The sequence below is a fragment of the Homo sapiens genome, chromosome 8 (assembly GCF_000001405.40).
Source record: "Homo sapiens chromosome 8, GRCh38.p14 Primary Assembly".
Taxonomy (NCBI): Eukaryota; Metazoa; Chordata; class Mammalia; order Primates; family Hominidae; genus Homo; species Homo sapiens.
Genome location: NC_000008.11, coordinates 3,113,303 through 3,134,229, shown reverse-complemented (window position 1 = coordinate 3,134,229; position 20,927 = coordinate 3,113,303). Strand labels below are relative to the sequence as shown.

General features: G+C 39.9%; 1 protein-coding gene across 5 annotated transcripts in view, besides 1 other annotated feature; it reads left to right on the top strand.

Moving 5' to 3' along the window:
- Positions 1–20,927, top strand: part of CSMD1 (CUB and Sushi multiple domains 1) — a 2,059,554-nt gene that overhangs the window by 1,860,685 nt on the left and 177,942 nt on the right. For all 5 annotated transcript variants that reach the window (XM_011534752.3, NM_033225.6, XM_011534753.4 and 2 more), the window contains one exon: positions 15,643–15,831. In XM_011534752.3, the coding sequence (XP_011533054.1) occupies positions 15,643–15,831 (189 nt within the window). The remainder of the gene's footprint in view (positions 1–15,642; positions 15,832–20,927) is intronic.
- Positions 247–939: an enhancer, noted in NCBI's record as "H3K4me1 hESC enhancer chr8:2990813-2991505 (GRCh37/hg19 assembly coordinates)". NCBI's record gives its function as "activates a minimal SCP1, AML or CMV promoter by ChIP-STARR-seq in primed H9 embryonic stem cells {active_cell/tissue: H9 hESC(primed)}" and the evidence as "EXISTENCE:reporter gene assay evidence [ECO:0000049][PMID:30033119]".

The window sequence follows — 20,927 nt, the reverse complement described above, 5'->3', positions numbered from 1 at the left end:
GCTCTTTCTTTCTTTTCTTTCTTTTGTTTTTCTTTTTCTCTTTTTTTTCTTGTTTTTTTGAGATGGAGTCTCACTCTGTCGAGAGGCTGGAGTGCAGTGATACACTCTCGGCTCACTGCAACCTCTAACTCCCTGGTTCAAGTGATTCTCCTGCCTCCTGAGTAGCTGGGACTGCAGGTGCCTGCCACCATGCTTGGCTAATTTTTGTAGTTTTAGTGGAGACAGGGTTTCACCACATTGGCCAGGCTGGTCTCCATCTCCTGACCTCATGATCCGATCTGCCTGCCTCGGCCTCCCAGAGTGCTGAGATTACAGGCGTGAGCCACCGCGCCCGGCCTGACAGAGCACTTTCTAGGACTTTGCAAGAATTCGACCGGCCTTTAAGGCCATGCCACCCTTTCTCAGTTTGACTTGTGAGGCAGCTGCAGCGCAGCCTGGCAGTGAGTGTCATGAGCAGTGGTCAGTTCATGGAGGGGGAATGAGTCCAACCTGTAGGTCCTGAGCCAGCGAGAGGTGCTGGGCACTCCTGCCAGCAGCCTCCTGTCTCTTCGCCTACCTCTGATCACACTCACCCCTCCCCTTCCCAGAGCTAAGCTCTATGCCCGCCCCTCCTGACTGCAGCCCTAAAGCCCAGCCATAGGTTTCTCCTCAGAACCCCTTCATTCCTGGTGGGTTAGGGGCTTCACTCTCGTCTGCCGGTGTCCACGTGAGCCTTCCAGTGTAACAGTAACAGGATTGCCTTCTGCTCCCAGGGGCGCCTCTCTTCCCCTGAGGCCAAGGCACCCCCAGCTGCTATAAGTGGCATCCAACACAAGACAGACCCAAGCTCTTTCAGGAGAGACTGAGGACGATTGTAAAGGGGAGGCTCTGAGGGATCCTCAGGTCAGCCGGCATCCCCGGAGGGTAGTGGAAAGTAGCCTCCTGTTGAGAGAGCAGTGAGATAGAAAGAGCAGGCGGGGGACCCAGGAAGACAGCAGCAGCCAAGAAGGGGCCCCATTGGGACAGCAGCAGCCAAGAAGGCCCAGGAGGACAGCAGCAGCCAAGAAGGGGCCCCAGGTCGGCCTCCCCCAGGTCGCTGAGGAGAAGCTGTGTGCCGGCCCACGCTGCAGTGGGTGACATCCAGGGGCCTGGGGAAGGATGCAGGCTCACGCAGAGCTGGGCTAATACGCCTTTTATTCCAGTGTATCCATAGGACAGGCAAGTCAGCTAACCTCATATGAGGCCAAGTGGGAGAGGTTCCTCCCAGGTGAACGGAGCGGCACCCTCAGCCTTCTTGTAGACCTGGGCGAAGGAGGGTCTTCCCACTTAGATATTTCCTGGAGCACAGAAGGCTGGGAGTGGGTTCCTAACCTTCCTGTTTCCTGTTTCCTAGGATTAAAGGGCAAGAAGTTGGAGCTTGTGTAGCTCCTGAGCTCCAGAAAGAAATAAGAGCTTGGGCTTCTCCAGAGTAGTGGAGTCAAATTAGGAGAGAGTGAGGGAAGGAATGATATGGTGAATAGTTGTCTTGTTATGCAGATTACAATTGCTCAGGTAATAAAGCAACTGCCCTCTTGATGCAGCTATTCAGAACTACTTTTGTATCTGCAGTTTCTCAGAATAATCTGGTGGAAATATACCAAAGAAGTGTGTTTTGGGGTGGCATATTCTGGTCTTCTAGAGTCATATTTTGGGGTGGTGTCCTGAGCCCCAACACTATCTAGAACTGATGAGACTGAACTCATCAAAGTGACACTTTGAAGACAAACAGCTTACTTTCATAGATCAGTGTTTAATTATTTCCATTTTTGAATAAAACATTATTGTAGTATTTTATAACTTGTGAAGGTCTCTGTAATCTAAACCCATTAAGTTGTATTTTAAGTCAAATTTTTTTGAAGGCCGTCTATGTATTAGGCTAGCATGAGAATGTAATTTCTGTGCCAAGAGCTAGGAATTAAAAAAAAAAAAGATACATGGGTGTTTTGTAAAATAATGTCATAATTTAATAGAAAACTAGATTTTCAATTACAAAATTAAAATCCAACATGATCCTCTCTGTGACTGAGATATCTGCTGAGGTCTGAGGGTAAAACCCACTGGGTGGCCTCGCAGAGCAGGCACACTGAGCAGGCTTTCCCTGAGAAAGTTCCACGTGAGCAGAACCTGGAGGCCACGTGTGAACCCTGGCTTACACTAGAGGTGGCATTATGGCTACCAAAGGTGAAGGATGAGTTTGGACATGAGCCAGTGGAGTGATGGTATTGGATTGTGAAGGAATTTGCATCCCCTGTTAAGACCATGAATTTAGTTCTCTACACCAATAGTTCTGGGGCCTTGAGGATAGAATTCAAGGAATCTATTACTCAGATGGTAAATATATACATAACAATATTATGTATTTTTCCCCTTAAGCTTTAATTAATATTTAGCATTTCCTTACATTTTAAAGGCAGGCAATAATATTAAAATAGTATTAGCAGGCTGGGCACAGTGGCTCATGCTTGTAATCCCAACATTTTGGGAGGCCGAGGCGGGTGGATCACCTGAGGTCAGGAGTTCAAGACCAGCCTGACCAACATGGCAAAACCCCGTCTCTACTTAAAATACAAAAAGTAGCTGGGCATGGTGGCAGGCAACTTTAATCCCAGCTACTCAAGAGACTGAGGCAGGAGAATTGCTTGAACCCAGGAGATGGATGTTGCAGTGAGAAGAGATCACGCCACTGCACTTTAGCCTGAGCAATAGAGTGAGACTCCATGTCAAAAAAAAAAAAAAAAAATTAGTATTAGCATAACCTGTGACTTTGTCACCAAATCATAGATAATCCATTGCTTTGTTTCATTTAGTGCAGATATTTCTTTTTTTATTTTATTTTATTTATTTATTTTTTCTTTTTTTTCTTTTATTATTATACTTTAAGTTTTAGGGTACATGTGCACATTGTGTAGGTTAGTTACATATGTATACATGTGCAGATATTTCAAAATGTTACTACACCATGGTTTGAAGTTGCCTCAGTTATTAGACTTGGCCATGTGTTGTTTAGTGAAATAACATACATAATGTTAAGCCACAAATTTTGCTTTATCGCACTTTTGTAGGAATATTTTAAAATGGCTGGTTTCCTTTGTAATCTTATGTATTTTATTTTATACAGTAAGACATTAGTTTGAGAAACTTATTAGACTTCCCAGAATGCCAAAGTAGTTCAGATTAAAACAGTTATGAACGCTGGAGGACCGTAAGAAACTATCGCGGATTTTAAAGTGAGAATGACAATGACCTTAGACACATTTTAAGAGCCTAATCTGGTACAATGTAGATATGGACTGTTACAGAAACACTTGTTGCAAATAGAGTGAGACTGGAGGCAAAAACATATGTTTAGGGCATTGATTTGAAGTTGCAGCCATAGAGGCTGCAGCCGTGCCCAGGCTGAAGCTGTGTTAGTGGTGCCTGCTGTGGAGGAAATGATTGGGGTGATGTTTAGGTTGTGAGCGGGGGCCTGGGGTCTGCCACTCTCTGGGGTGGCATTGAGATTTGAAGGACTGGAAGGAGACATGGCTGCACGTGCTAGGAAGAGTTCTGGGTGGAGAGAAGCCCGATGAGTTGAGAGAAGAGAAAGGAACAAGGCTGGTGCACTGGGAGCGGAAGGTCAGAGGGCTTCCCCGGGTCAGGGGGCCTGGGGATTTGGCTGTGACGCATTCAGGTTGTTTTCTAGGTGCAATGTGATGTCACTGAAGAAGCTCAAGCAAATGAGAAGTTGCTTACATGCAGAGAATGAATTGTATGTGGATGGGGGTTGGGGGAAGCGAGGGAAGAGTAGAGCAGGGGAAGCAGTGAAGAGGCTTCCAGGAATTGGGGGCGGGAGGCTTTCAGCTCCAACACACCTGCATCGCCTCGTCTGGCTGTATGCACGACGTACAATTTGAATAATGTGAATGATGAATGTTGTGCTTCTCTCCCATCTTCCTGCTCAACTGTCCCCTCCCTTGCCCCATTCCTAGTGAACTACATCCTGTTAAAATACAAACACTTCCTCCGTGATCATCATGTTAAACTTGCTCATTACATGGTAATTTCCATTTTTAATGAGCATGATCTTAATATCTGAGCCAATAAGAAAAATAGAACATAATTATATGCCATAAACCATTAACTGTCAATTAATTGGTGTATCTCAGTTGACACCAAGCACTTGCAAGTCTCCCACATTTTGAATATTCTTAATACCATATTCAACATTTAACTTTTCTTTTCTTTTTTTTTTGGGACAGAGTCTCACTCTGTTATTTAGGCTGGAGTGCAGTGGCGCGATCTCGGCTCACTGCAACCTCCGCCCCCCGGGCTCAGGTGATTCTCCCATGCTGAATAGCTGGGATTACAGGTGTGTGTCAACATGCCCGGCTAAATTTTGTATTTTTAGTAGAGACAGGGTTTCACCATCTTGGGCAGGCTGGTCTTGAATTCCTGACCTCAAGTGACCTGCCTGCCTCAGCCTCCCAAAGTGCTGGGATTACAAACATGAGCCACCCCGCCCGGCCCAGCTCCACAGTTTTTTTTTAAAAAATGGTTTTGTTGCTGAGTAGCTGGGATTACAGGTGTGTGTCACCATGCCTGGCTAATTTTTGTACTTTTAGTATAGAGAAGGTTTCACCATGTTGGGCAGGCTGGTCTTGAACTCCTGACCTCAAGTGATCCACCCACCTCGGCCTCCCAAAGTGCTGGGATTACAGGCATGAGCCACTGAACCCGGCCCAGCTCCATAGTTTTTTGTGTTTTACTCTTGATATTTTACAGGTAAGGTTATTAAGGCCATGTCTATGTAGTTCCAAAAGCTACCAATTATTTCAATCTGTAATAATGGTCTATAAATAAACAAACAAGCAAACCTGCAAAAAGCCCATGTAGGAATCATCTAGAGCACAGGTCAGACAATTGCTTTGGTTGACTCACAAAATATTTAATATTTACAAAAATCAATTATCAGTATTTAGAATTCCATGTTATGTAATTTATGAGATACCCATAAATCCCCTTTCCCTTTTTCTCCTGCAATAGCAGAGTCTGGAAATATTTGTCCTGCATTCCCACGTAGGAGAGAACCCTGGCAAAGTGGGCCTGACTTCAGGGCCTCCTCTAGTTTCTTACTGTCTTGCTCATTGATGTTGACTCCGTGGCCTTTGAGCGTTAGAAAGCATAAGTCCTCTCCTAGGTCAAGCATCTGGTTGGCTAAGCAAGTGTTTTATTTGCTTCACACTTAACTCCATGCTAGTATTGTTTGTCACGCAGCTTTTAAAGGATTTGTGAGATACCCTTAGATCTGCTTTCCCTTTGTCTCTTGCAATAGGAGGATCTGGAAACATTGGTCCTGCTTTCCCATGTCTTGACACCCCATTCCAAGCCAGATGTCAAGGAGAAGAAAGGACTTTCAATTAAAAAAAAAACAAAAACTCGAAACAACATGTTTTTTATTGTACGCCATTAATTTCCTATCACTGAGATATAAAAATAAATAATACAAATAAATGAGAACATGAATTTGAGCTATTTTATTTTCTTGTAGGGTATCATATCTGACAGAGGTGACACTTAATTAGATAGTTTGTCAGTGTTTGCCATTTTATAAAATTGATAAATTGATAAGATGACACTTAACTCTGATATGTAAGTCAAATAAACATTCCTAGGTTCTACTTGAGATTTAGAAGCTAAGCTTATAATTAATAACTCCTAAGAAGATGCATAAATCATACAGAGAATTCTTGTCATTTTCAATGATGTCTGTGCTGTACACCTTATTCTTAAAGTTTGTCATTTATTTATGACCATGTAAAGGTCAGAGATGTTACTATAGACGTAGCTGTCTTGAAGTTAAATGACTTATTAAGAACTTTGGTAAAATCAAGCCATGCACTCTATTTCTAAGTCAAGAATTGAAAAATTGATAATAGCATGAAGATATTTATCAACTAACTAGATATTAGCGGGAAAATAGACATTAGGGGGATTACTGCATGGTCTCGTTGCACTTATGATTTAAAAACTTGATGTGAATAATAGTTATTTTTTTCAGATCTAAACAAAGGATTCCTTTATAAAAGATAAAATTCTCTGTGTTATTTTACTTTTGTTGGTATTGCCTTGGGCTTATTGATACTTAGATTTTCATAATACTCATAAAAATTTTGCCATGTTAAAGATTTTAGTGACTTCCTTTTCTTTTAGGTTTTGCAATTTGGAGAAGTTAAGTCCCTCCCTCCCTCCCTTCTTTCCTTCCCTCCCTCCCTCTTTCCTTCCTTCCTTCTTTCCTTCCCTTCCTTCCTTCCTTCCTTCCTTCCTTCCTTCCTTCATTCCTCCCTCCCTCCCTCTCATTCCTTCCCTCCCTCCTTTCCTTCCTTTGTTCTTTAGTATCTTCCTCTCTTTCTTTTCTGTGTTATAAAGCATATTGCTGCATTCTAATGCATAAACTTTTTTGGGAAAGAAAACTTATTCAATGCCAAAATCTCAAAGATAATTTTAATGCTTTAGGCATAGCAAGTAAAAATGTCTTTTATTTTCAAAGTTCCACTGTTTTTCTTCTTCCTTTTGCTATGTGTGCCAAACACCATTTTTAAAGATAATCGAATGTGTTAAATCTGTTTATTCTTCATCACAATCATAAAACTGCTGAATTTTATGTGAAATGATTTTCTTAGAAAATAGGCTATAGTTTGTTATACCAATTTTTCCCCTTTAGAAGAACAAGCAATTAAGCCACCTCCAGGCACAATGAACATCTGAACAATTCATTCTGAATTATGTGAGCATGCAAACTGTTGCTTGTATACAAACCATAATTTGTACATAAAGTTGATATGCTTCTAAAACTGCATCATTCCTTTTCCTTTCAACGGGGGATTCTGAGCGACTTTGAGTAATTAGGGGAACAGGGCAAGGGTGCTTACTCAGTCTCTGTTTTTACCCGTCTGCATGAGTGAATTGAGCTTTCAACCTAAGGCTTTACAAAGATGCCTCTTTTGCATGAAAGTGCTTCCAACAGTGACCCCAAAGAGTTGTAGCAATCCCCATCCCCGCTAGGGCAACCATGTACGAGACAGAAAAGGCTAAGATTCCCCTTAGTTTGTGGACAAGACTCTTAGAAACTAGGACCTGAATCTTCATTGTTGACGGATGTTCTCCCTGCAGATCACAGGCATCTACTCCTTCTTGTATGGGTTTTCTGAAAGCAAAAGCAACACTCTCACCTTCTCCTTTAAATGATCCATTCCTCTGAACCAAAAGCTGACGTTCTCAGCGTGCATCAGTAGACCCGTCTCCTAGGTGAAGGCACCTTCAGATTTCCACATTCCACTTGCTGCAAGCCTCTCTTGCAATGCAGGGAGCACGTTTCATGTGCAGGCTGGTCCTCCCGAAGCATTGATGTATAAGCCTGTAGTCTCAGCGAGGCCCAAAACTCTGACAACTTTTGCAACAGTTTGGTTGGCTTCATAAGCAGGTGCTGGGACTAGGAGCTAAGAGAACAAATGGAGCATAATTAGGCAGAAAATATGTCTTAGAGTTGAGAACCAGGGTGATATCCTTGGTTATAAAGAAAGAGTGATATGCTATCCCAGAAGTTTAGAATAGCCGATAGATATGGGAAATTGGTGAGCTTCTGTATGTGTGCACTTGGGAAATTCTGTGGACTACCATTCATGGCTGACATGCTACTGAGACCCCAGATGGATCTTTTCATTGATAGGGAAGCTGAGGACTCAAGCGGGGCTTCAAAGTCTTCAGTGTACACCTTGATGTAAACTGCAGCCCTATTCTCTGTAGCAATGCCCTTTTCTTAGAGTGATTCACCCTAATTCCCACCACCAGAAGCAGTAGCCTCCTCCTGGGTCTGTCTCCATCAGAGCAGTTGCTCGAGGGCTTTGCCTTGATTAATGAGAAATATTTTATCAAAGAAACTAGACAATTCTTTCCATCAAGACTAAGCTTTACTGAACTAATATATGCCAACACTGATTCATTTCTTTTAGCATCCCATTTAATTCTGTGGCCCTTGTATAGATGGGTATATTTAGTCTCCTTTCATGAATGAAGAAATGAGCCTCCTGGGATTAAGTGGAATGTTCAAGTCCCCGTATTGGCACAACCAGGCTGAACTCAGGTCACACCAGGGTGCCTCACCTATTTTGCAAAACTACTTCAAGGCTCATGTATGTACTGCCGAGGTAGATTTCTTCATGTGTTGATGATTCTCTAATTCAACTTTTTTCTTTTTTTGAGGTGGAGTCTAACTCTGTCACCCATGCTGGAGTGCAGTGGCACGATCTCAGCTCACTGCAACCTCTGCCTCCTGGGTTGAGGTGATTCTCCTGCCTCAGCCTCCCGAGTAGCTGGGGTTACAGGCATCTGCTACCACGCCCAGCTAATTTTTGGAATTTTAGTAGAGATAGGATTTCACCATGTTGGCCAGGCTGGTTTCAAACTCCTGATCTCAGGTAATCTGCCCACCTCGGCCTCCCAAAGTGCTGGGATTACAGGCATGAGCCACGGCACCTGGCCTTAATTCAACTTTTTAATGACAGATAATACAACAACTCTTATAGAACTAATAGAGAGAATGCCTTCAGAAGTCTTTAGGAATTGCCCAGTATGGGGATGCAGAAGTTGTGACCTTCAGCTGAATCAGAATTTGTTTGATAATCGTGGCTTTTACCACCCTTTACCCTAGAAGGTAACTTCTTTATCAAATTCCACTGAAGTGATCTTTTTTTCTTTTTCTCTCACTTGATGACTTTCTTTCTTAAATTAAAACTTTTTATATGTTTACAACCCATTTATGAGGGTGAATGCTTTTATGATGGGTACAGAGCAAGAAGGCCATGCGTGATGAGGGTTCTGACAGCAGATTGACGCCTCCTTCGCCCTCTCACACCTGTGTGGCCTGGCACTGTGATGCATTGCAAGTCCTTCAGAGGCACCTGCAAGAAGCCAGCACAGGCACTATGAAACCCATCACACTCACACTAAACAGGATGCAACAGGATCCTTCCAAAATTCTTCAGCATACTCAGGAATTATCTTCATGACTTATTTTTAGTTATTTCCATTCAGACTCCTAATATAGTCCTTTATACCTTATTGTGTGAAGTGTGACAGTGAATCCAAGTTTGGAAAAGACATTTGAGAAAAGAGAGAATATGACTTTATACATCAAAAGTTTGAGGGAATATCGGTATTAATATTTAAGTAGTTAAGTACTCAGTTTAACAAGACATTTGGAACAAAGACCAAAAAATAGTGTAACTGATGCTCTTACTTAGTGATACTCTTACTTAGTGTATAGTTTACAATAGAAAAAGAAACTAATTGGCATTTTAAATTCTTGAGATAATTCTGAAATGAGCCATGGGTTTTGAATCATCATTGTCATCATTATGATGTTGACTGGCAGATGGGATTTATCAGGTGAAAAAATGGGTCCTGGGTTTTTATAATATGTCTGTGTCCACTTATAAAATGTGTTCTAATGAACGTCCTGTGGTCTGAACAATTTGACGACTACTTCGTCTCCACTTAGGAGGTGGCGAGAGTGTGAAAAGGGGCACACACTTTAGGAGAGTGTGAAAAGGGGCACACACTTTAGGAGAAGGGGCTGCAGAGGTCATCTCTCTTCTGAAACTCTCCCCTTATCCCAGACACTGAACTCTTTCTATGTTTAGAACACATACTATTTCCTTTGGCTGAAAAGCCTGCCTTTCTTGGTCTTTTCCTGATCTGCACCATTTTCCTACTTAGATCTTAATTTAAACGTCATTTCTTCAACAAAACAATTTTGACCACTACTGCATAACCTTAACCAGGTTTTATATTTTCTTTACTTCAATCCACTTTTTATTTTTTAATAATAATTTATGCAACTTACAATTCTTTTATACAATCATCTATGCTTTAATTTGCCTAAATTCACCAGAGTAAGACGCATTTCTAGTTTCCATTTATAACTAGCATTTATAACAGAGTAGAGTCAATAAATAATCTTTATTTCACTCAATAAATGAATAATGAAAACCACTGTACTGCCCATATGGGCTAATCTGCTCCCCCCTCCCCACACGCACACAGGATAATTGTTTTGTTGCCATTGAGAAAAGAAAAAAAAACAACAACAATTTTTTTCAGTGATTAGAGTAGCCCGCAGCCATTGGGCTTAGAATCTTTAATTACAACTTCAAATGTCCTATTTCGGTGTTTTTCATAGAGGTTATTTTCATGAGCAGAAGGGCGCTAGAGCCTTCAACACTAGTTTTACCTATCCCAAAAAAGAACTTAATTGTACTTCTTAAGTCACCCGAAAGACTACACAGCCAAACTAAGGCAATGCAATGCCTTACATACTATTAACACTCCTGTGTTGTAAATGTGTGTGTGTCTCTGTTAAACGCTGTTTTAAGTGAAGGTTCACCAGGAGTACCTATGAACCATTAACTTGTTAATATTGTATTCTGGTAATTGAGGCTTGTATACTTCCAAGGCACTGCTAATTCGTGGATGAAATCTTCTAATGAAGATGAGGTTCTATTGAATCTAGTTTTATTTGCTTCTCCTCCTCTAGAAACCAGCAATCAGCTTTCCATGTTTTTTTTTCTTAACGTTTTATTAGCGTTCATATTTGCTGTACAGTAGGACTCATTTTTCCAAGAGAGTTTATTACGTTTAAAGCAAAACAAGAATGAGAAATGAATTGCTGATTTCATTCTAAAAGAGAATAATAAAGAAGGAAATGTGTTGATAGTTGAAACTCAGTGTGGAATTATTCATTCTTTTTTGTGAGCATGGGTCTCTAAAGCAATTTTAGGTCCAAATAGCAGTATTGGGAGGAGGCATTCCAGGCACTGTGGATGTTTTCTAGGCCATTTGGCAGTGGCTTTCAAGAAAAGGCTGTTTTTGTGGACTTCAGCCTGGAGTGGTCCCTGGCAGAGGCAGCGGTGGCCTTGCTATGCATTTGACAGGTTGGCCCAGGGAGCCACACGATGGGGGAATGCAGATGAGGGGTGTGTGTGTCAGAGAAAGAGAGAGATGCTGATTTGGCCTGGCTTTCTGTTTTAATGTTCCCTGTCCCTACATTTATCAGCTTAGATTTCTAAGCATCTAGTTTTTCAAATAGGTGATAACAACAAAAACAATCAATCATGAGGGACACGCCACTGTAGCCTTTGAGCTACGTCCTTTAAGACATAATTGTTTCATAGGGGTTTGAATATTCTTCCTTCGAACACCTGGAGAAGTTTTTCCTTGAAGCCAAGTATGATGTAAAAGATTCCAACAGTCCAATATTCTACTTATCAGACACAAAAACAACTGAGAAACACTATTGTATATAATGTAGCTACTGTATGGTGGACTGTTATATTAGTCCATTTTCACGCTGCTGATAAAGACCTACCCAAGACTGGGAAGAAAAAGAGGTTGAAATGGACTTACAGTTCCACATGGCTGGGGTCGGGGGAGCTGAGAATCATGGTGGGAGGTGAAAGGCACTTCTTACATGGCGGCAGCAAGAGAAAATGAGAAAGAAGCAAAAGTGGAAACCCCTGATAAAAGCATCAGCTCTCGTGAGACTCATTCACTATCACGAGAATAGTATGAGATTGATTGGACCCTCTGATGCAATTACCTCCCCTGGGTCCCTCCCACATTCACAACATTTGGGAATTCTGGGAGATACAATTCAAGTTGAGATTTGGGTGGGGACACAGCCATACCACGTCAACTGCAAATTCCATTTTCACAAAATTGTGAGTTAAAAATATTTTTTATTTTGCAAACTTTATTAATAGCAATTGTGCTTATAAGGTTTATTGATCTATAGTAAATCTTTGTAGAGTGTCTCTAATCAACGCAGTAGTTCCATGGTATAATGTAGCTTTACCAGAAAGCAGCACTGGAACATTCATTCATTTTTTTATTTGTAATTACATATTTTTAAAGTAATAACATTTTTAATTGGCAAATTATAATTGTATACATTTATGGGGTAAAAGCATTCATTCTATAACTAGTAATTTATCTTGGATTTTCTGTATATAAAGCTTGTAAATATTGAGTTATAAAGATTACATCTCAAAAGATAGCACTGAGTTAATCAGAATACTCATTTTCAAACACTGTTTCTAATTTCATATTATCGATATACATTAGGTTGGTGTAAAGGCAATTGAGGTTTTTGCCATTGAAAGTAATGGCAAAAACCGCAATTACATTTTCACCAACCTAAAATACAGCTAATTCTCTATAATATTTAGGTGCATTATAAATAAAATGTAATAACTTTATTTGAACTTATGACAGTTTATTAAGTTTTATCATATAAATTACTTGATATTCACACTGATCTTGTTAATTAGGCAATACTCCTTTGTATCTGTTTTTTGTTTGTTTGTCTGCTTGCTTTTTATGAGACAGGATCCTGCTCTGTCACCCAGGCTGGAGTGCAGTGGTATGATCATAGCTCACTGCAGCATTCGACTCCTGGCCTTAAGCAGTCCTCCTGCCCCAGCCTCCCTAGTAACTGGGACCACAGGCATGAGTCACTGCTCCCAGCCTTTTACATCTTTAGATAGTAGGTAAAAGAGGTGATGTCTGGAGCTCTTAGGGAGCCCCCAAAGCTCTGTTAGTAATGAGCGACATAATCCAGTGGGTTTCTGGGTTTCAGAGGCTGCCCAGCGCTTCCCTCCAGGTGAAGTTTCCTCCTCTCCCGCTCTGGGAGGAATTTGTCTCACATAGTGTTCTTCCCACTTCTCGTCCCTGGGGGAGCCAATGCCAGGAATTATCTCAAGATGCTTTTGCCACTATGTGTCCTCTGATCTCGATTTTTCTTGTTCTCAATCATTTTTCTGCTGCGTCTCTGACTCTTGTTCAGAGACATATCATTGCATAAATGAAAATAATTAAAACCAAGGGATGCTGAAAGGTTAAATAAAGGATTTTTTTTAACCTGCTGACTATAGTCAGGGCTTAACCACAGGAAGCTGTTGTCAACTGCATAGTATGCTTACAATACTGAAAATATAAATAAATACACAGAAATCTATACAATCTGTGACTATTGAAAGATATGACATTTCATCACTGGCATTTATGAGTCTCTCCCTATTTTTTTTTTGTTGTTGTTTGGATTTCTGTAGTGTAAATAATGCTGCAATGAACATCTTTAAACATTCACCTTTTTCTGCTTAGAAATTATGCTCATAATAGAGATTTCTGTAAATGTATTACTAGGTTTAATATTACAACTGATTTTTTATGGCCCTATTCTAATGACTTTCCCAAACAGTTGTGGCAAATAATGTTGCCATCATTGAGTTACTGAAATGACTCACTAGCATTGCATATTGTTATTTATTTATTTGTGATGGAGTCTCACTGTGTCGCCAGGCTGGAGTGCAGTGGCGTGATCTCGGCTCACTGCAACCTTCTGCTCCTGGGTTTAAGCGATTCTTCTGCCTCAGCCTCCCAAGTAGCTGGGATTACAGGTGCCGGTCACCCCCCCTGGCTAATTTTTGTATTTTTAGTAGAGACAGGGTTTCACCATGTTGTTCAGGCTGGTCTCAATCTCTTGACCTTGTGATCCACCCGCTTCGGCCTCCCAAAATGCTGGGATTACAAGCATGAGCCACCGAGCCCAGCCTGCACATTGTCATTTTAAAGAGGCAACAATGCCATTTCATTAGTTTATTAAATAGGAGAAAGCTATGGATAATAACGAAACCTCATGGCTCTATGGAATGCTTAACATTTGGCAAATGTTAATGAAGACAAACTCCAAACAGCACTTACATTAATCTTGTGAACGCCAAGGCCACGCTGTAGGCCCACATATTGCGTTGCCTGGTTGCTGTCTTCCATATGTTCTCACATTATCTTTATGTTGATGTCCAATTGCTTTAATATAAAACACAGACTGATTCATATTCTGAGCCTTAGCTGCCTCTTAAATCTAATCCCTGAGTAATCCCGCATCAAGCTCTTTGTGTTCCCATCCCCTGTCTGCTGGCCCCTCTGCCCTGTCCTATCTTCTTTCTGGCCCACCTCTCTTTTTCTCAGGTCCTGAACACAGAAACAAAAAAGTCTAGAATTCTGGGAAACACCTGTCATAATAATATACTGTTTCCTTTTCCAGCATTTGTTTACAAGTTTCCAAACTACAGGCTCACTCCAATATTGTCAATGGTTAAGGAATTTACACATAAAATTGAAATTTCCATTTCACTTCATTCTCCACAGAAAAGGCCCCTCTGCAGAAGCTCGGAGACTTTATTTTATGACTTGATTTTCAGTTGATTGTGAGGACAGTGACCGGTGACCTCATGCTATTTTGAAACTCATTGTGTTGCCTGGCGCTGAGGGTTGGTTTCAGCAGAATTACATGGCAGGGCGGAGGTTCCCCCAGAACTGGTGCTGCATGGTGTGGCTTTGCTGCTGCATTAGGAGCAGGTTCCCAGTCTCATGGGAACTGCCTTTATGGACAAAGGTGTGCCTAAATATTCAAAGATGCTAGAGAGGGCTTCTACTGCATTGAGTACTCACGCCCTCTTCCCAGAGTGGGCGAGAGGCTCATTTAGCTTTAAAATTACAGTATCAGATGATACCTGATTTATGGATTAGTTAATTCTTACTCATTAATGAGTAAATGTTTAAACCACACAGACTGCAAACATTTATTATCTCTTGTCTTACCTGGAGTTTATTCTAGGGAACATAAAGACTGAATGATAAAGCACAATAAATCATGTTATAAAAAATTGTACTGATAGTAGTTGTCAGCTTAGGGATTATACAGTGTTTTTTTTTTTTTTTTTTTTTTTTTTTTAGAAAAAGACTAAAAAAACTGCAATGGATTTTCCTGTTATATTTGTATAGTTAAACCAAATAACGACATATTTTCCAGTTAGGAGTACTCAGACTGGTAGTATATTTCCTATTTAAAATAAAAGGGAATTATTAGGTATATGTTCACCCAACATTTTTTGTAGGCTCCTTTTATTATTACTTGCATTTCCTTTTTTTTGGGGCGGGGGACAGAGTCTTGCTCTGTCGCCCGGGCTGGAGCGCAGTGGCAAGATCTCGGCTCACTGCAAACTTCACCTCCCAGGTTCACGCCATTCTCCCGCCTCAGCCTCCTGAGTAGCTGGGACTACAGGCGCCCGCCACCACGCCAGGCTAACTTTTTGTATTTTTAGTAGAGACAGGATTTTACTGTGTTAGCCAGGATGGTCTTGATCTCCTGACCTCGTGATCCTCCCGCCTCGGCCTCCCAGAGTGCTGGGATTACAGGCGTGAGCCACCGCTCCCAGCCTGTATTACTTTCTTAAATAATTTACATCATATGCCTTTTTTCCAAGGTAAGCATTATAAAATTTACTTTTGGTATGTGCTACTTTCCTTTTAAAGTACACACTATTTATTAAATGCATATGGTTATGATTCTACTACTACTAATAATAATTATATTGGTCTGGATGGCAACTGACTACTTAGAAAATATACCTTATTAAACTTATCCAACAACTTCATCTCAAGCAGTCACATGTGATGACACTCCTGCAAATTCCGAAGTAATTTAACCTCACAAATATAAGCTTTATTTTGTCTGTTTGTTTCTTTCAGCCTATGAATTACAGAACTGTCCAGATCCACCCCCATTTCAGAATGGGTACATGATCAACTCGGATTACAGCGTGGGGCAATCAGTATCTTTCGAGTGTTATCCTGGGTACATTCTAATAGGCCATCCTGTCCTCACTTGTCAGCATGGGATCAACAGAAACTGGAACTACCCTTTTCCAAGATGTGATGGTAAGTTCATCACTTTGCATGGGGGCGATTTAATGTTTCATGGGCATAATAGCACATTAAATATTAAATGAACATATCCAGTAATTTATTAATGTATTCAATAAATATTCGTTGAGAATCTATTATGTTTTACTCACTCCACTTAGTATTTAAGGAATATGTCGCATGCTGTTAAGTTAGAAGTAAAGAAACAATCCTTGTTGCCAAGGAAATTATAAGGATGGCAAAATAGTAAACACAAGAGGAATGGTATACTGAGCTGCAGGGAAGGAGATGGCACAGGCTTGGGAAGCCATCAGGGAAATCTCCGCGAAGTCAGCAGCGTTCAGCTTTACAGTGGTTATATCAGATTGTAGGACCAGAGGGAAAAAGGGTACTTATTAATTTGATCCTTGGTGTTTCTTTTTGTTTAGCTTTTATAATAATTTCATATTGATTTTGCATTTCAGAAAAATGAGCTCATTTTTGTAGTGGGCCTTGAAAGGTACATAGCATTTTGCTACTCGGAGGTGGAACACTCCAGGTAGAAGAAACAGTGTAAGAAAGAGCGCAGTGTACAGGTAGCCATAGGAGAAAATAGTAGAGTGGTTTAATAGTGCAAGAGGGGCTCTACGGAGAGGCTGGAGGCAAGTTCTCGTTTGATGGTGCAACAGAGGACCTGGTCTCTTTAGACGTCCTTTTTCTGAGCAGGAATCCTTACTTTAATGCTTCTGTGTGACTGCCTCATTTTTATGATGACTTTGACATTTTTTCAATATCTAATTAAAATAAATAGATCCATACTATGTGTAGGAAGAATGCATATGCAATAGAAAATTTACTGTAAACCCGATATTCTCACACTATACATACAGGACCTTTGAATGAAAAAATAATGAAATTACCAACTCCGTGGACCTTTGAAATGCTAAGCACTTGTATCCTGTGGGGAAAAGGGGAAGACATCTGGCTGTGCTTTAATTTCTACTGAAGAAGTAAAAGAAGCATATCAGTAGGCTTTTAAAATCACAGTTTTTATCTGTATTTACCTATTCTGTATTATTATAAAAATAACTACAAACACACTTTGGGAGGCTGAGGTGGGCGGATCACAAGATCAGGAGATCAAGACCATCCTGGCTAACACGGTGAAACACCGTCTCTACTAAAAATACAAAAAAATTAGCTGGGCGTGGTGGTGGGCACCTGTAGTCCCAGCTACTCCAGAGGCTGAGGTGGGAGAATGGCGGGAACCCAGGAGGCTGAGGTTGCAGTGCCCTGAGATCGTGCCACTGCCCTCCAGCCTGGGCGAGAGAGTGAGACTCTGTCTCAAAATAAATAAATAAATAAAATAAAAAATAACTACAAACAATTCTTTAGCCACATTTTAAAAGTATTTTATCTTAATCTAATATTTATTTAATTACATATAAAATAGCACTTAAAATTAATTTTATAAAATAAGGATAGCAGTAACCTATCTGGGCTGTTTTTCATTAAAACATTTTTTAAATCTTTAAGTCTACTTTCCGTTCTAGAAACTCATATATATGTATAAATTCTTTTGAAATTATCAGGATTGAAACCTCTTCTTATTTGCAAGTTTGGTGTGAAGACTTTGAATTCATATGTAAATGGTAGACTCTGGCTTGATATTTAAAAAAAACTACAATTAAATATTTAATTTGATTTTATTGCTTTCTCAAGCTTTGTTTTTCAATATGGAAATAACTGCTCTGGCTTCGAATTATTTTGTCAGTGTGAAAATAACAAAATCTACCTTTTTTGATAGAATTTAAAGTGATGCCTGCCACCTTTCCTAATTCTAACATGGTATATAACACCATCTAGAATTAGCTAAACTCTGCATGAATTTAAAGCCTAAACCCCTTCAGACTCCCAAAACCAGCCTGAGGCTTCATTCTCCATTAGAAGAACTCAGAGACATCTCTAAAACTATCATGCTTGTCATTATGGTTTTAACAGGGAGGGGATATGTCAATATATTCCAGGGAAAAGACACATGTGGCAGAGTCCAGGAGGATGCCACATATCTCTCTGATCCATGCCAAGTTCTTTACTAAACAAACATTTTTACTATTATATTTCTATTTTTACCAGTACTCGTAAACCTAATAAAGAAACCGAAACGCACGATTCATGTAAAAGTTTATCATAAATATTGAAAACAATTAGAGGACCTATATAAAGGATTTTCTAAGAACCATCCAATGTGTGTTTAATATCCTTTTCATATTAAAAAAGGTGTTATTTAACGCAAAAGGTGCTTTACTTGTGAAAGTTTATATTTCTTAAAAAAGTCGTTGCTTCATAAGAATGCGGAGGCTGTTCAAACGCCTATTAGTTACAGTTATATGGCACTTCAGTCTTTCCCAGAGACAGCGGTAAACACTGCTGACAACCCAGTATCTTCATGTAACATGTATTTTATTAATTGACAGTGGTTTATCATTTCAGGTCAGTGATTGCTATATAGGTCAAGTGTACTGAAAAACCATCTTCAAAGGTCCAGCCCTGTAGACTTGAAAAGAACTTCAGAAAAAACACAGATACTTTAAACAACTTCTCGATGTCTTTATTAAAAATTGGCCAGTTTAGATAATTAATAAAATAATTCTAAATCCCAAGGCATCAGTCTTCACAAGTATATATGAAATCAATTTGTATTTATATACTGAAAATACATGTTAAGCTGCATAAGAATCTACTTTATGAAATTAATATAGTATAAATTTATCTGAAAAACTGTGATCTGAAATTATGATATCTATGAAAGTAAACAAATGAAAGAATATGTCTCTGAAAGTTATCTGAGAAATTGAAGACATTATTTTTCTGTCAGTAACATAATTACACAGAAGTCTCAGTTAAAAAATTAAAAAAAGGTGGGGGTTTTAGGCCGGGCACAGTGGCTCACGCCTGTAATCCCAACACTTTGGGAGACCGAGGTGGGTGGATCACCTGAGGTCAGGAGTTTGAGACAAGCCTGGCCAACATGGCAAAACCCCAACTCTACTAAAAATACAAAACTTAGCCAGGCGTGGTGGCAGGCACCTGTAATCCCAGCTACCTGGGAGGCTGAGGCAGGAGAATCACTTGAACGCAGAAGGCGGAGGTTGCAGTGAGCCAAGATAGCGCCATTGCACTCCAGCCTGGGTGACAAGAGCAAAACTCCATCTCAAAAAAAAAAAAGGGGGGGGGGGGATTGTAATTGTTAAAATATGATTAAGTAGAATTTGGTTTATTAACTTATTAAATGTAATTTTCTAATTAAATATGCATTCACACTTACAAATATAGTTCAACAATTTAAAATATTTTGCTGACCTAATTAATCATTTAACACTGAAATGTTTATGCATAAAAATATAATTTTAGGCATTAAATAAATCTTAAACACTATCATAATAAACTTGACTTAAATGCATTAGTATGTGTAGAGTGGGGAATTGCACAGACAGAGATAATTATTAGTGTAAATAATATGTTGTGATAGGTATGTTAACAGCTTCTTTGAATTTGACAGATTTTGTAAGCAGAAAACAATTTTATTGCAAAATTGACATGAGAAATGCAAGCAGCTAAACAATGTATTATTACATACATATTTTTTAAATTTAAGGTTTACCAAGCTGATTGGTAAATACAGAAAATAATCTTTCCCAATAATAGAGAATAAAAATAACTATAAAGAATGCAACTCTGTCTCCTTATTTTTCTTACCTGCATTCACAAATACAGTCTTTAAAATCTCCATTACCAACCGGCAATTTCCAAGACAGAGTGCGCTCTGGATTCTTCTCTGAAAATGCTTCTAAGGAAACCAGAGTAACAGAAGGAAGAAAAATGATGGCAGGAATAACTCTGGTTCTCTACACACTAGGGGAGATTAAACTTTCAGTATCTTCGATATATTGAGAGTCAAGATATTTTTATATTAATATATATATTATAACATATTTATTATATTTTTATATTCATATTTATGCCAAGTGTATTTATTAGCTTTTTAATATGGAATTTCTTTCATATTCTTGTTTAGGCAAAAAACTTAACATAATACTAGAGAAAACCATCTATAAATGATAAGTCTCTTAGCAAACGTTCAAGGTTTTAAAATTTAAATTATTTTGTTTTCACTTTATTTATTTATTTGAGATGGAGTCTCAGGCTGTTGCCCAGGCTGGAGTGCAGTGGTGCAATCACTGCTCACTGTAGCCTTGACCTGCCAGGCTCAAGCAATCCTCCTACTTCAGCCTCCCAAGTGGCTAGGACCACAGGCATGTGCTCGCATGCATGGATAATTAATGTTTTTTGTTTGTTTGTTTGTTTGTTTGTTTGTTTTAATAGATGGGATCTCCCTGTATTGCCCAGACTAGTCTCGAACTCCTGGGGTCAAATGATCCTCCTCCCTAAGCCTACCAAAGTGCTGGAATTACAGCTATGAGCCATAACAGCCAGCCTGTTTTAATTTTAATTTGATGTAATATCACTTAATATGCCTATCCATCTCTCTTCACAGAAAGTCACATTGCATAAAGAGAGGAAAAGGTAGCACAATAAAGAGATGTTTCCTTGTACCTCCGCCCTCCTGTGCCAAGGTGTGCCAACCCCCCAGTTGATTTTCTGGTATCTTCGAGCTGTGGCTTCACACCTGAGCAGGAGTCAGTCACATATACCCATAACTTTTGTGTGTGTGAATCACCAAAAGTACCCCCTTCCCACTTCTCAGGGATGTCAATGAACGAAGGGAAGCCTCCGTGGTATTTGAGGCAATGATAGAGAGTGGCGTTGTGGGGGAAGCCAGTGGCGCCAGGGTACCTGGGCATGTTTCCCATTGGGCGTGACATTCAAGTTAGACATCACCGCCATCACTTTCAACACAGCGACTGCTAGCTCTAGAATCGGATCAAAATATGTAGCTTTCTTATCTTTATGTGCTTATTCTTGGAAAAATACATGAGCAAATAGCTTGAGCAATTCCCTCCTTCACTGTCTTGCCCAGCAACGCTCTCTCCCACGTGAACATCCGGGTATTCATGAGCACGGAAATGCCTGCGCGTCTCTTTACTCCATGGCTCCTGAGAGTGGAGGGA